This window comes from Homo sapiens, chromosome 5, assembly GCF_000001405.40.
Source record: "Homo sapiens chromosome 5, GRCh38.p14 Primary Assembly".
NCBI lineage: Eukaryota > Metazoa > Chordata > Mammalia > Primates > Hominidae > Homo > Homo sapiens.
Window position 1 is genome coordinate 109747319 of NC_000005.10, and position 17532 is coordinate 109764850.

Sequence of the window (17532 nt, forward strand, 5' to 3'; positions counted from 1 at the left end):
TCTGTATGTGTGCTTCTTGTATTTTTGTTATATTTTTATGTCATGCTTTTTTGCAAAATACATTATAAACATTTATGAATTTCACTAGTTTTCTGTGATATCGTTTTTAATGGCTGAATAATGTTCTGTCACTGTATGGATGAGTTAACTTGACTAATCTCTTACTTTTGGAGATCTAGGTAATTTTTTAACTTTTATCTTTGAAAACATCTGTTTGTATCCATGATCTCTATTTATAATCTAATTTTATACAAAGGTAACAAAGAGCTGGGGGGAGAGGGTGGGTACAGCAGTTTCATTTGACTGACAATATAATCAACATTTAGCTGTATGATTTTGTCCTCTTTGTTGCCTAAAACATTATTCTCTAGGGCTTTCCCCAAATTGTTTTAGAACAAGCAAGTTGACATGCTTTTTCTATAGGGTATACTGCCTGGGAATAATGTGGAATTGCACCAAGGAATCAAAGGGCAGTATAAGGACATGTGTAATACAAGATTCGTGCATAATTTTTTCATCACCATGCTGTTTTCCATACTACTGTACCATTTTACATCCCACCAGCAATGCACAGATTTCTAGTTTCCTCACATCCTTATCAACACTTATTTGCTGTTTTATTATTTTAAGTAATAGGCATCCCTAATGGGTGTTGTACCGTGCTTTTTAAACATGTATCTTGGAGAATCTTTTAGTAAAGTCTGTTATGTGAATGGGACTTGTTATTTAACTACTCCCGATTTTCTGGCCTCTTGGTAATATATTTAGTGTATCTTTTGTCTTTAGTATATATAATGCTCTTATTTTAAAATACAATATTTTCTGACTTATTTTCAGTGAGCATGGATGAAAGTACATATGCATTTTACAGTTTGATAGTTATTGCCAGCAGTATGTGAGACTACTTATGTCTACATCCTTAACATCACAGTATGTTATACAACTTTTTGATCTTCTTATCTGATAGGTGAAAAGTGGCATCTTAATGAAGTTTTAACTTGCATTTCCTTATGAGTGAGATTAAATTTCTTGTCATTTTTATGAGCCAGTTATTTCTGAAATATCTGCATTGTATCTTTTGCCTTTTTTTTTTTTTTGCATTATCAGTACCCATTTCTTACAATTTTATGCTAATAGGAACAATCAGTGTTAAATGATGAACAAAACTGATGTGATTCCTGCGCTCATGGTACTTACAGCCTGTTGGAATAGAAAGATAGTAGACATACAAATATGCAATTAAATTTTGTTGTAAATGTTATGGAAGAAAAGTTAGATTTTCTGTAAGATAACAGTTCAGGCTGGATTTGGGTGGAATGTGGTGGCCAGTAACAGCCCCTAATGAACCTGTAAGAACCAATGAGGCAAATATTTGAAGGGAAAACATTCCAGGCAGATAGACAGCATGGACAGCTAGCTGAAAGAAGGGCATGTGGCTGGATTGCAATGAGGAAGAAATGATGAGAGATGACTGATTTGCCCTCTGTTCCTCATACACTAATCTGTATAGATATGTGTCAACAATGTTCAAAAGTATACAGTGAGTTTCTCCTATCATTATATAAGGGGCTTTAAAACAAATCTTTTTCCCTGCCTACTAGATATTCTCCAGGAAAGGAATATGAATCAGACAATCTGATTAGCAGAATGTCTTTAGGATATAAGTTGATTCATTGGGAGCTTCTGTGTTTTTGAATTTTTCATTTAAAATTTTTTTAAAATTTAAGAATGAAATACTGTATGTCATCTTGTATTATTTCCTGTTTCTCCAGATGTGTCATTAGAAATTCAGCTGGTTTTCTCATGTGAAATTAATTTGTGATTCTTTGAAGCTTGCTAAATGATGCATTGTTTGCTACTAAGTTGTCTGTAACAATTTCCCCATTAGGGAGAAAAGCTCTTTGAGTGTGTCCTTCTGTGTGTGACCAAATTCCAAATGTCTGATGATTCTACATAGGGGAAAAAGTGACACTCAGAGAAAATGATTTGCAGCTTGTTGTGCTTTGCAGTAAATTCTGCATTTTAGGTAAAATGCGGAATGACAGATATGCTCAGCTTAGTTTTGATCAGTAATTTTCTTAAGCTTTCTGTATCAAATTTCTCATCATTGAAATAGAAACATGGTGGTATTTTAATGTCTTTTACCATTAGTTACAAGTCAACTCAGTGTAAAAAGTGAAAGACAAGTATTGTTAATTTTGAAAATTAGTTCCTGGTTTCTTAGTTTCTGGATTTGTTAGATAAACATATACCTTTGTTTCCCTTACTTACCCAATATCCTTTCACTTTGGCCTTTAGGTTTCATGTTTATTAGGAAATATCATGAAGTGTACATGTAAAATAGACAGAGAATGTCTTGGTAGAAATTAAGCAATAGACCCTGTGGTGTGGGCACATCTTTTTTTTAAATTTTAATTAAATTTTAATTTAAATTCTAATGTTTTTAATTAACTTTCTCCACTAATATTCCCCTGCTTGTCAGAGAAATAGTTCAATTGATACCTGTTGAACACTGTGAATGGAAAGACTTGGAAGTGCCTGTATTCATTCTAAGTAAATTTTTTTATAGATACGGGTATTTCTCATTACTTTTAAAAAATTGTTAGTCTTGAATGTACAGCTACAATCCATCTTCATCTTATTTTTATCATCACTAACAACAGTGGCTTTAAGTATGGTCCTTTTTTAGGTTAACATAGCTTTTCTGTTATTGCTTGTAAATATTTTTTAAAGTATTTCCAGACATATTGTTTCTGTTAAGACTTTTAGTCCTAGGTTTTGTAGTTATCACTAAATGATGATGGTTATTGCTATGCTTCTCAGTAATTAGGTTGACAATTTTCTTTGTTTTTTGGGGACTATTTCTTGTTTTTCTTTCACTCATCAGATGCTTCCTTAAGTGCTTATCATGTATGTTCTAGAATTCAGGGCAAATTTGTGTCCTTCTGATGTTTTTGGGTTTTGTTGTTGTTAATGGCAAGTGTTTTTGCTCAACACAGTAAATATTTTATATCAGACCAAATCTTCCTGCTTGTAAGAATCTTCTGGTTTATTATCTGTTTTTCTATTCTTGTGGATGGATTAGAGGGTAATACCCTAGGAAAAACAGGCAGTTCAATGAAATAGGAGTACTCACTAACCTGATTATTCTACCAGGTATCATACTATTACAATATGGTCCATATTAAAATAATGTTGTCTCTTTTCTTCCATGGGATGTTTTGTTCTATCTTATAAAAGAAACTATGCTAAGAGGAACTAAAAGCTATGTGCTTTCTGGCCTACTATTATGATGTCATTTATATATGATATGATATATTTGCCTATTTTTGACCTAGTCATGCAATTTTTCTGAAAAACCTGTATGAGCATAGTATTTTGAAATATGAATCCCTTGGCTTCCATGACATAATATCTTGGCATTTTCTTATGAGCTGGTTTTAAGTCACTCTGATTGAGTCTTAAAAAGAAAAAATATAACTCATTCTTTCTCCACTAAATCAATGGCTGTTTTATTGTATTTTTATATTTTTAATTGATGCAAATATTTGTACATATTTATGGGGTATAGGTGATATTTTGTTACATGCATGGAATGTGTAATGATCAAGTCAGGGTTGGGGCGTCCATCACCTTGAGTATCATTTCTAAGTGTTGGGAACATTTCCAGTCCTCTTTTAGCTGTTTTGAAACATACAGTACATTGTTGTTAACTATAGTCACCCTACTCTGCTGTCGAACATTAGAACTTACTCCTTTTATCTAACTGCATGTTTGTACCCATTAAACAACTTCTCTTAACCCCTCTTCCCAATCGCTACCCTAAGTCAAATACTCTTCCCAGCCTCTGGTGTCTGTCCTTCTACTCTCCACTTCTGTGAGATCAACTTTTTTTTTTTTTAGCTCCCAAATATGAGTGAGAACATAGGATATTTGTCTTTCTGTGCCTGGCTTATTTTGCTTAATAGAATGACCTCCAGTTTCATTCATGTTGCTACAAATGATATGATTTCATAGGTTTTTATGACTAAATAGTATTCCATTGTTTATATATATACCACATTTTCTTTTTCCATTCATCTAAATCAACACTTAGGTTGATTCCGATCTTTGGTGTTGTGAATAGTGCTGCAATAAACATGAGAGTCCAAACAGTACATCCCTTTGGTGTACTGATTTTTTTCCTTGGTATACTTGAGTTTTTCCCAGTAGTGGGATGGCTGGATCATAAGGTAGTTCTATTTTTAGTTTTTTTTTTTAAATAAATCTTCAATGCCTATTTTAATAATGTAAATGTTTTTTAAAAATCTATTTTTCAACTTCCTATTCTGACTCACTGATGTGTTTATTTCTAAGTCACAGTTATGGTAGCTTTTTAATGGCTTACACCAACTGGAAGGACAGATTGCTCTTTATTACTCTTCTCTAGACTGTTTCAGGCTAAATTCAGATTTATTATTTTTGTCATTTAACATTTCTTATCTCCATTTCTCTTATATTTTCCTTCAGCTTGATCTTTGACTCTCCTTTTGCTTGTTTTTTGTTAACTTCTCATCATTCCCTATTTTCTCTTTTGTTAATAGTTCTTTGAAACTTAACTTTTTAATTGGCCCCTTTTCTTAAACTTACTCTTCTTTTTCACTTAACTCCTTTTGGATGTCACACTGTCATCAAAAAGCCCTGTCCAAATTTGTATGCATTACTACAAAGTGACTTCCTTTCTCAACGCAATTGCACTGTTTGTGTATTAATACTACCATTCCGTTAGACACCTGGAATTAAAACTGTAAGTCATATTTGCATTAATCTTTTCATCTATCTTCAGTCATTTTCTAATTACCATTGATACTTTTTCATGTGATGTCTCCCGTCTTCCTCCTCCTCCATATTTCATAATTACTACTACCATGTTCTAGATCATATCATCTCATACCTAGATAATTGAAACTTCATTCTGACTGACCTTTCTCTTTCTATTTTATTTTGCAAATATCTGTGAGCTTCTTCTAATATAAAAACTGTAGGTAAATACTAATATTAAACTGATGGCCTTATTCATTAATTCCTCATTTATGTAATAAATATTTGAATGACCATTATCTGCCAAGCAAGCTTCTGAGTGCCGGACGTGCCAACGTGAACAAAACACATTCTAGTCCATGCTCTCTTGGAGCTTACATTCTAATGGTGGGTAGAGGTCGGGAGGGAAAGAGTGGAGATCTGACAATGAACAAGGTAATTTTGGTTTCTGATAAAGACTGTGATGGATAGATAGAATGGGGGGTACAGTGGGAGTGTTAGTTTAGCTTGGGTGCACATGAAGACATCTCTGAGCTGAGCTATGAGGGCAGTTGAGACCAGCCAGACTGGGAAAGATAGGGTAGAAGAAAATAGATAAATGCTGGAAAACATTTTAATAAGTGGGAAGTTTTTCATGCCTCCTCAAAATTAATAGACAGAATAGTCTTTAACCTTTAAGTACAGATAAGAATTCAGTCTTTGATGAAAGTAGCATCCCAGGCATCATGGAGGAGAAATGGATTATTAACAAATGGAGCTGGGAAAATTAGTTACTGTATATACTGTAATTCTTGGCTGGTTGACTTTCTTGAAGACCATTGATGCCTGTGGGACAGGAATTATGTTGTAAATTAAAACTAATATAGATGAAAAAAGTTCTATCATTGGAGTAAATTTTTTCCACTTAATTTTTAGTTTTCTTAATCTGCAGTTTTTTTCTCTATTCAACATCAGCGAAGAGTTTATTTTTGATTTATATCTGAACTTATGTCTGAAATTTTCCAAAAGATCTATTTATTGATATATTGAAATAATGAAGTCAAGTTTCCGTATTTGATAATTAGATAATAAATCTCATACTGTCCTGACATCTCAGGCTGCGAAGCATAACGCATAAGGGGCAGGTTTGGTCCATAGCCTCTAGACTGTGGCTAAATCAGGCAATCACCAGAAAGATAAGAAAAAGAACTAATTGTATGCATAGGTCTATTGACAGTAAAGGTGGGACCGGTAGCCTTGAATTTAGTTGTGTTCTTAAAGAAGGGCGTTTTTTAGAAATTTCCAGCTTCTTCATTGTAGATTCTTGATTTGGGCCTTTGAGAATCTGAAGTTTGATTGGATATTGTGTTTCTTTAGACATTCTAATGAGTCATCATATTCTCCATGTGAAATTATATTAGTTGGTGATCCCCATGGCAACATAAATTTATTTCTTTAATTTTTGCAGGGAATTTATTATTTGATTGTTTTTTAGAAATTACGTCCATTATCCACTCTGTTACTGGTTATATGATCATGCATATGTTTGAATTACATGTTGTGTTAATGTTGTGGCTTCTATCATATGCTTTGTAGGAAAATAGTTATTCATCCTCTGTGCCTCTGGTCTGCTTCAACTAAATTTGGCTTGAGAGTTGGCTGTTAGCTGTAGGCATCCAGTGATGTATGTCCTTTTTAAAGCTGCTTTGCTTCTTTCTGAAATTTTACCCCATTTTCCAAACCATCTTGTTGCAGGCTGGCAAGTCTGTGGCACTTAAGATAGATACTTGCTCAATTTTTTTTTCTTTTTTCTTTTTCTTTTTTTTTTTGACACAATGTCTCACTCTGTCTCCCAGGCTGGAGTGCAGTGGCGTAATCATAGCTCACTGCAGCCTCAAACTCACAGGCTCAAGCAATCCTCCCACCTCAGCCTTCCAAGTAGCTGGGACTACAGGCATGCACCACCACACCTGGCTAACTTTTTAATTTTATTTTGTAAATATGGGATCTCCTTATGTTGCCCAGGCTGGTCTAGAATTCCTTACCTCAAGCAATCCTCCTGTCTTGGCTTCCCAGAGTGCATGAACTACAGGGCTGAGCCACTGTGCCAGACCTTGCTTAAATTCTTGACTTTTATGCTTCCTTGGGCACTATTTCAAATTTTTAATAGTTAATGATTTTTTTTTTCTTCTCAGGGGAAAGTATCTTCTCAAAACAATTTTATTAGGATTAGGGATCTTGTTACCTGGTATGGTATTATGGCAAAGGAATACCCAATAGACAAGTAATGAAGCTGTTAGAGCCTTTCACTCAATAATGAAAAATAAACTGTATAGCCTATATTTCAACTGAATCTGGGGCAAAGTACTTTATGATGTTATCTGTATTCCCAGAGTCATGTGGTATTTACTAGCTTTACCCTTGTTATTTTTTAGGGTAGTTTGCATGATCAACTTATCAGTGTCAGAAGGACTAAAGTAAATATTGATTTTTTGATAAAAGTATATTGAAATAAATAATGTGCTTAAAGTGACAGCCCTCCAATAAACACTCATCAAGCATATAGTCTGTGTAAAACACCTTTCTAGGTGCTCTGCAAGATTCAGAAATAAACTAGATATGGGCTGGGCGTGGTGGCTCACGCCTGTAATCCCAGCACTTTGGGAAGCTGAGGCGGGCAAATCACCTGAGGCTGGGGGTTCAAGACCAGCCTGACCAACATGGAGAAACCACGTCTCTACCAAAAATACAAAATTAGCCAGGCATGGTGGCGCATGCCTGTAATCCCGGTTACTCGGGAGGCTGAGGCAGGAGAATCGCTTGAACCTGGGAGGCGGAGGTTGCAGTGAGCCGAGATTGCACCATTGCACTTCAGCCTGGGCAACAAGAGTGAAACTCTGTCTCAAATAAATAAATAAATAAACCAACCAGATGTGGCTTTTGACATTAAGAATCTTTGAGGCTGTATGGGAGTTTATACCCATGTGGAAGGAACCTCCAGAATGACCTGCGTGGCTTTTCCTGCAGAAGGGCAGGGGTTACCTGAGACACCGGGTGCTATCATGAGGTCTTGAAGTTGAAATTCATTCACTGGTTTAAACACATTTTTTGACAACTAGTATACATACTGGTTATATTTAAAGGCTGTTCTTAATGTTTATGCTTGTTTAGTTTTTCATTTGAACTTTTCTTAACATTTATTAATGTAGACTCTTGTTATTTTCTCTCTAGTTTAATAGAAAATGGTCAGCTTGAAATTGTGACAGGTGGCTGGGTTATGCCTGATGAAGCTACTCCACATTATTTTGCCTTAATTGATCAACTAATTGAAGGACATCAGTGGCTGGAAAATAATATAGGTATGTATTGGTATATTCTTTATTTGGGCTATTTTGGACAGTTAATTTTCGGGATGTGAAGTGAGGCTCTGTTCTTTTTTCGAGTAACTATTTTCCCTGTTAGTCATTATTGTTGAATAATTTATTCTTCATTAATTTATGATATTTCTTAGCTCATAAACTGAGTTACAGAGATTTACTATAGTCACTTTTAGGATCATCTACCTTGTTTAATGTATTATTTATCTATATTTTTATTGGTTTTGGGATTATTTTAATTGTATGTTAAGACTTGATGACAAGAGGCAAAAACCTAATTATGGTAGCTTAAGTTTTTTTTTTCAGCAAAAAAAGGAAAGAAAGATATTCATTATGTCACTGAGTGTTCCAGAGATACGGTAGCTTCAGGTATTGCTGTATCCAGGGATCCAGGGGACTTAAATTATGTTGTCTGGGCACTGTATCTTTGGGCTCTGCTTGTTTTGCTGGGTTTCTTCACAAGGTGAGTAAGATGGCTCTAGGCAGCCGAGACTAATTTTTCCAACCTAGCAACCAGGAATTCTCTTTAATACTTTATCTAGTTGGCCCAACTTGAGTCAGTTCCTTATGTCTGAGCCAGTTACTGTGTCCAGAGGTATAGGAGTTCAAATCACTAAGGTCTAGTCATTTTGGTGGAAATGGTCTTGGGGGAAAGGGAATTGTGGAGAGCAGGGTCAGCTGCACCTAAAGGCATGAGAATGGGTCCTCCATATGAGTGGCCTCATGGAATGGGTCCAGTTCAACAGAATAATTCTGTTGCTACAAGAAATGGGAAAAAAGATGCTAGACTGATAGAATCAGATGTCCACTATAAAAACTTGGGACTAATAGAAAACTATGTGATATTTAATATTTGCATTTTGTAACATGGTATGTAAATCCTTTCAAATATTTTATATCTCAGTATAATAATGTAGTTTTTTATGTAAGTATATGTGTTTTTTATTGAAGTTATTTTTAGATATTTCCTTATTTTAAAAAATTGTCCCTTAGAGATAAAATTCTTAATCCCTATTTTTTCTTTACTTTTTATTTTGAGATAATTGCAAATTTGAAGAAATGTATAAGAATACTGCAAAATATTCTCATAAACCCTTCACCCAGATTTACCAGTTGTTAACATTTTGACACATTTACTTAATTTTTTCTGTTTCCGTGTTGTTGTAGTGGTGCTGGTATTTCTTATTATCAGAACCATTTGGAAGCATGTTGCAGGTATCATGCCCGTGTAGAAAATAGTTAGCATAGCAGGTCTGCTATCTTTAGAAAGGCCTTGCTTGCAAGATTGGCCCTTGGTTAGTGTCTGGGAACATGGATATCCTAACGATAAGAGTGGCTCACTGTTTTTAATCTGTTTGTACAAACAAAATAGTTTGTGCTAAACAATTGCTTTCCTTCTGGGAGTCTGAATTCTTAGTATGTGCTGAACAGAGGGTGCCTACATGACCAGCCCCCAACATTGGACACTGAGTCTGTAATGAGTTTCCTGGTCAACAGCACTTCACACATACTGTCACAGTTTCGTGCTGGAGCATTTAAACACATCCTGTATGACTCCATGGGGAGAGGACGCTTAGAAGCTTGCACCTGGTTTCCTCTGGACTTACTCTGTATGCTTTTTCCTTTTGCAGATTTTTTTTTCTCATTTCACTGTAATAAATTATAGGTGTGAGTACGACAATATGTTGAGACCTGTGATTTTTCTTAACAAATCACCAAACCTGAAGGTGGTCTTGGGGACCCTCTCTACACAATGCCCTTTTTCTTAAATACTTGATATGCTAACCCAAGAATATTCACTTCATAAACCTCCGTTATGAATGTTTTTTATGTTTTTATTGAAGTGTAATTTACATGCAGTGGAATATATAAATCTTAAATGTAGAGGTCAGTGAGTTTTAACAATGTACATACCCATTTAATCTATACATTTATTACCCAAGGTCTCTCATCCCCTCATCTTTCCACTTGCAGCCAACTGCTCTTTGATTTCTGTCATTGTCCATGAGTTTTGTTTGAAGAAGAATTTATTAGTATATGAACTCACATAATATTATTTTGGGTCTTGTGTCTTTTGCCCAGTGTAATTTTTTCTTACAACTTTATTGAGATATATTTCACATAAATTCATAGATTTGTGCAACCATCACCACAGTCTATTTTTAGAACTTTTTTCAACATCCCCCAAAGAAACCTTATACCCAGTAGTAGTCACTCCCCTTCCTAGCTTCACCCTTCCCTGCCCCAGTCTCAGGCTATCACTAGTCTTTCTGTATATATGGATTGGACTATTCTGGACATTTCACATAGATGGAAGCATGTAATGTATGGCCTTTGGTGATTGGATTCTTGGCATAATATTTTCAAGGCTCATCATGTATTATAGCATATATCAGTGCTTCATTCCTTTTTATAGCTGAATAATATTCTGTTGTATGGATATACCAGATTTGTTTATCCCTTATTCAGTTGATGGGCACTTAGGTTGTATTTTGCTTTTGGCTGCTGTGAATAATGCTGTTATACACATTTGTTTAAAAGTTTTTGTGTGACTCTACCTTTCTTCCTAGGAGTAGAATTGCTGAGTTATATGGTAAAAATGTTTAGCATTTTGAGAAACTGTCAAACTTTTCCAAAAGAGCGGTATCGTTCTACCTTCCCACCAGCAATGTGTGAGGTTTCTATTTTCTCCGTATCTTCACCAACATTTGTTACTGTCTCTCTTTTTTATTGTAGTCATTCTAATATGTGTGAAATGGTAATCTCATTGTGATTTTGATTTGCATTTTCCTAAAGACTAGTGGTACTAAGAATCTTTTCATGTGTATATCAGCTGCGTATAGATCTTTTAAGGATAAATGTCTATTCTAATTATTTTCCTATTTTTCAGTAGAGTTATTTATCTTTTTATTATTGACTTAGAATTTTTTTTATATATTGTGGTTAAAAGTTCTTTGTTGGATAGTGATTTACAAATTTATTTTCTCATTCTGTGGTTTTTTCACTTTCTTGAAGGTGTCTTTTAGTGCACAAGTTTTAATTTTGAGGAAGTTTTTCTTCTGTTGCTTGTGCTTTTGATGCCATAGTAAGAAACTGTTGTTTAATCCTGAATTATAAAGATGTACTACTGTCTTTAAACTAGTTTTATGGTTTTAGCTCTTACATTTATGTCAGTGATTAAATTAACTAAATATTATATTTAGTTAATATTATATAGTTAATATATAATAGTTAATATAACTATTAATATAATTGTTATATTAACTAAAATATTAATTTTTAGTTAATATTTGTATATGATGTGAGGTAGAGTTTCATATTTATTTTTTTTGCATGTTGATACCCAGTTATTCCAATGCCACTTATTGGAAAAGATGATTCTTTCCTCACTGAATTGTCCTGGCACACTTGTTAACAGTTAGTTAACCATAATTATGAGAGTTTATTCCTGGACTCTCAGTTCTGTTTCCTTGACTTATATTTATGCCAGTACCGTACTGTCTTGATTACTATAGCTTGTATAAGCTTGACATTGGGAAGTCTGAGTTCTGCAACTTCCGTTCTTTTTTTAAACTTGTTTTTTCCATGTGAATTTTAGGCCAGTTTATCAATTTCTGCAAAAATATCAGCTAGAATTTTGCTAGTGGTTGTATTAAATCTGTAGGTCAATCTGGGGGAATATTGCCGTTTTAACAATGTCACATCTTCTGATATAGCAACATGGGATGGCTTTCCATTTAAGTAGATCATCGTTAATTTCTTTCAACAGTGTTTTATAGCTTTCAGTGTAAAAGTCCTGTACTTTTTTTGTTAAATATGTTCCTAGGCATTTTGTTTGTTTTACTGCCATTATAAATGGGATTGTTTTCTTAATTTCATTTTAGGATTATTCATTGCTAGTATGTAGAAATACAATTGATTTTTGTTAGTGATCTTATATCCTGTCACCAGCATGAAGTTTTTGGGATTCATTCTTGTTGTGTATGTTGGTAATCCATTTCCTTTTATTATTAATCCAGTTTCCTGTTGAACATTTGGGTTGCTTTCAGTTTTGAGCTATGGTGAATCATACTGTGATAAACATTTGTGCACAGGTCTTTTTATGGGCATATGTTTTCCTTCTCTTGGAGTGAAATGTTTACTAGCACTAGAATTGCTGGGCTATAGGATAAGTTTATGTTGCAGCTTATGTGAACTTTGAAAGAGTTTTCCAAAGTGGTGGTGCTATTTTATATTCCACCAACAACGAATTAGAGTTCTGATTGTTCCACATTTTTGCCAGTGTTTGCTGTGTGAGTCTTTTTTCTTAGAACCATGCTAGTGGGTATATAGTGATATTTCACTGTTATTTTAACATGCATTTCTATGATGACTAATGATGCTGAGTATGTTTTGTTGTGCTTATTGGCCAGTGGTATACCCTATTTTCAAGTTTCTAAGTCTTTTACCCATTCTTTTTATTTGAATTGTTGCTATATATATATATATATAGATAGATAGATAGATAGATAGATAGATAGATAGATAGATACTTTAAGTTCTGGGATACATGTGCAGAACATGCAGGTTTGTTACATAGGTTTACAACATGCCATAGTGGTTTGCTGCACCCATCAACCTGTCATCTATGTTAGGTATTTCTCCTAATGCTATCCCTTCCCTAGCCTCCCAGCCCCTGACGCCCCTGTGTGTCGTGTTCCCCTCTCTGTGTCCATGTGTTCTCATTGTTCGACTCCCACTTATGAGTGAGAACATGCGGTGTTTGGTTTTCTGTTCCTGTGTTAGTTTGCTGAGAATGATGGTTTCCAGCTTCATTCATATCCCTGCAAAGACATGAACTCATCCTTTTTATGGCTGCATAATATTCCATGGTGTATATGTGCCATATTTTCTTTATCCAGTTTATCATTGATGGGCATTTGGGTTGGTTCCAAGTCTTTGCTACTGTGAATAGTGCTGCAATAAACATACATGTGCATGTGTCTTTATGGTTGAATGATTTATAATCCTTTGGGTATATACCCAGTAATGGGATTGCTGTGTCAAATGGTATTTCTGGTTCTAGGTACTTGAGGAATCACCACACCGTCTTCCACAATGGTTGATTTATACTCCCACCAACAATGTAAAAGCATTCCTATTTCTCCACATCCTGTCCCGCATCTGTTGTTTCCTCACTTTTTAATGATCGCTTTTCTAACTGGGGTGAGATGGTATCTCATTGTGGTTTTGATTTGTATTTCTCTAATGACCAGTGATGATGAGCTTTTTTTCACGTTTGTTGGCTGCATAAATGTCTTCTTTTGAGAAGTGTCTGTTCATATCTTTCGCCCACTTTTTGGTGATATCCCCTTTATCATTTTTTATTGTGTCTATTTGATTCTTTTCTCTTTTATTCTTTATTAGTCTTACTAGCTATACTAGTAAAGGGTTGTTGCCTTTTTTAAAATTTGTAGATATTCTTTGTATGTTCTAAATATGAGCACTTTGTCACATATATGCTATATGAATATTTTTACCAGTTTATGGTTATTCGTTTGTTTTTAGTGGTATCTTTTTCATTTCTCTTAATCATTTAATACCAGTATATAAGAAAATTTTTCATATGCATGTGTATATGTGTGGTCTAAAGTTGTATAAATCCTATCTTTTTATTATAAATATTTTATATAATTTCTTATTAGTTATAAATATGTAATAAAATCATAAAATGAAAATTATCTTTTTAAATACTTATAGTATTTAGACTATATGTCTGTTTAGTATTTTATTGCATAGATAACATCTCTTATAGTAATGACATAGGGTAGTGGTCTTTCTTGTTCCAGATTTTTAATAGAAATTGTTTAGCTGTTCTGTATTAAGTATCATATTATATAGTATTTTTATGGTAGGTGCTATTTATAGTGTTTAGAAAATTATTTTCTTCTTAGTATTTTTCACTTAACAGTGAATACGTAATATTACTGGTTTTCTTATAGCCGTCTATCAATACTGTATGGTTTTTCTCATGTTTCCGTGGATGTGACAGCAGTTTGTTCAGTTAAAAAGTCATTGACTTCCTGGAATAAATCCCTTTTGGTTTTGGTACTATTGAATTTAATTTATTTAGTGGTTTTATGATTTTATATCCATTTTCATGAGTAAGATTAGTTTTCTTTTTTAATGTACTACATTTGTATTTTTTTTATTGGTTTGTGATACTTAATAAAATGAATTAGGTAGTACTGAATTCTTCCTTGTATTACGTGACAGCTTATGTACATTAGAAATAATTTATTGCTCAGATCCTAGGCTTAGAGGGGTCTTTTATTGGAGGTAGATTTTTTGATAATGTTAAAAATTTCTCCAAAGTTATTAATATCCAATTTACATCTAAAATGTAAATTGTATTATTTTTGTTAGAAACCCAGCCTTCTTATCAACATTTTAATTACTTGGAGTATAAAGTAAGAATTGTATATAGTATTCTTTGTTTTAAACAGTATTTTATTAAATAACATGCAGTCAGTGTGGGAAAATAGGAAAAAATAATATACTAGCAGAAAGTAAGGAGAAATCCTTCTGTACCCTTTAGAGATAACCTGTTTTGTGATATATAACATTATAGCATTCTGGACTTTTTCATATGTATATTTAAACACAGTATAAGTTTTTTTCCACAAGGATAGGATAGTATTTTAAAACAAATTTATTAGAGATAGTAAAGTGTTTAAAGCTATCTTCTCTACAACTTTTGTATCTATCTTCTTTATAGTTTTCTGTAGGGCATTTTTATTTGACTGTTAGTCTGTGTTATTTATTTTTTAAAGAGCAGGTTAAAATTTTTTAAGCTAAAAGGTATTTTGTGTTTCTTCATACTACCTTATCTTTATTTTCCTCTTTCTTTGCTCCTTTTGTCTGTTTTTTGTTTCTTTTTCTCTCAAGGAGTTGGCAACAGGTGCATGTGCACACATACATACATTTTGGCTCATTTGTTCTTTTTCTACAACGTGAAGGTGAGTGGCAGCGAGGCCTCTTGTGAGAGAGCATACCCATCCATCTCACTCATCCTGTGGAGTCAGCATAGGCAAACTGCTGAAATGGAGTTGGAGCTCATTTCTGCAGTCCAGGCAGAGGACAATGGCAATGTGGCAGGGTCAGTCTGAGAATGTATGTTCCTCCTACCTCAAGGTGCCTTGGAGAAGATCAGTGCTGGCCTTCGATGTGCTCAGGGGATGTACTTATGACTCTTAGCATGTGATATGAGGTATCTCACTACTTCACTCTTTCCTCCATCCCAAATAGTGAACACACTTAACAACACTTACAACATCATAAAACTGTTCAGTTTTAGAGGTATAATTGTCAAAAGCACAATGTGAACAAATGCAGCTTAAAGATTGAATTGGCTTTATTAAGCAATTCATGAACAGGGCAACATCCCATCTAAAAAATAATATTCTGATGAGCAAAGCAGAGAAGACTGGCTTTATAGGCAGCAAAAGGCTGCAAAAGCAGAAATAGGAAACAAAAAGTAGGTTGGTTATTTCAAAGTTACTTCCCTTACAGGGTTACAACAGAGGAGACTTCGTTATCATGCTGGCTCAAGTAGACCAGGCCCCTTCTGATTGTGGATCAGATTGCTTCAAATCTCCTGGTTTTTGTTGTTGTTTTTTAAACTGGTACATATTCAAGTTCAGTTTGATTATGTGGCACCTAGCACAAGTGACTGTATTCTGGTTTGATGTGGTCTTTTGGGGTGTACTGCAGCTGCTCAGCCTAATACAGTGGCCTTCCATAAATTTTATTTAACATAGACCTCTATGAATTTAATTAGTAGGCTTTTGAGCATCAGAGTGAGACTCACTACATGTTCCATAAAGCTGAGAAAAGCCAGGTTCAGGGAGATTTTCCCTTGGCCCAGTTACTTTCTTTTTAAATATAAGGAACATATCTGAGGATATGACATTTCTTTGTATTGTAGCTTTGGCTGCATCTTATGAATTAGTGTCCTTGGTTTTGTTTTCTTTTTTTTTTATTTTTAAGTTTTTTTTAAAATTTATTTTAGTATTATTATTATACTTTAAGTTTTAGGGTACATGTGCACAATGTGCAGGTTAGTTACATATGTATACATGTGCCATGCTGGTGTGCTGCACCCATGTAGGGACATGGATGAAATTGGAAATCATCATTCTCACTAAACTTGGTTTTGTTTTCTAAAGAATTTAGGACATGTTATTTTGGAGACTGTTTTTACATTTGATTATGGGATGCATTTTTAGTTGTTTAATCTTTGGCTATTAATGTCTGCTTTTAACTTTATTATAAAAATTGACCATTATAACTTTTTTTTTTTTTTTGAGACGGAGTCTCACTCTATCTCCCAGGCTGGAGCACACTGGCGCCATCTCAGCTTACTGCAACCTCCGCCTGCTGGGTTCAAGTGACCCTCCTGCCTCAGCCTCCCTAGTAGCTAGGATTACAGGTGCTTGTCACCGCACCTGGCTAATTTTGTGTTTTTAATAGAGACAGGGTTTTACCATGTTGGTCAGGCTGGTCTCGAACTCCTGACCTCAGGTGATCCACCCACCTCTGCCTCCCAAAGTGCTGGGATTACAGGCATGAGCCACCGTGTCCGGCCTATTATAACTTTTTTGAGCTTTTAAAGTTGTCTTTTGACTACCATATCCATATTACAAATATATTTCCTGATTCCTCTTAAACTATAGTATTAAATATACTTAGAATAATCCAGTTTTATTAGGTACTATTCGTATTACTAATGTTCTAATTTTTAAACCTATTAGGTTTGCCAAAAATTGACTGATGTTAATTCTTCTTAATGTTTTCCATACTTTGTTCTTGTATTTTGAACAGTTTTTACTTTTATACTTTTACTTTTGATAATCTTGTTCTTGCATGAAGGCATGAAATCTTTTTGATGAGCTTTCCAGTTTTATTAGCAAATGTGCCCTCTTTATAAAATTTTGGATTTTTCTTATATTGTACTTTTTCCTAAGTTTGCCCCTTACCCTCCTTTTAAAAAGTATTGCCAAGAAAAACCCTAGCAGGACACTAGGTTCCTTTTTAAGTCTATCCCTAGTTCTCCACTCCTTTCATATCAAAGTTTTAAAAAATATAGTTTACACTTTCTCTTTTCTACATTATTTAGTCTCAGGGACTCTTTATTCCATTGCAGCTAGGTTGCTACCCCTCTGGATCCAACGGTTTTGATGTGGAAAAGATTACCAGTGATGTTATAATTGTTAAATTGAATGGACACTATAAACTCTTTGACATCACTGCAGTGTTTGATACTGATTTTTATCTTTTTTTGTAAGCTTATTCTGTCCTTGTTATTTGGACAATACATACTCCTTTTTTAATTTTA

The 17532-nt window shown here is 34.1% G+C and overlaps 1 protein-coding gene across 5 annotated transcripts in view; it reads left to right on the plus strand.

The window, feature by feature from the left end:
- MAN2A1 (mannosidase alpha class 2A member 1) overlaps nucleotides 1-17532 on the plus strand; it is a 179699-nt gene that overhangs the window by 57392 nt on the left and 104775 nt on the right. For all 5 annotated transcript variants that reach the window (XR_007058604.1, NM_002372.4, XM_011543395.4 and 2 more), the window contains one exon: nucleotides 8011-8138. Coding sequence is in view for 4 of the 5 variants with exons in the window: in NM_002372.4 (NP_002363.2) it covers nucleotides 8011-8138 (128 nt within the window). In the remaining variant the exon portion in view is untranslated. The remainder of the gene's footprint in view (nucleotides 1-8010; nucleotides 8139-17532) is intronic.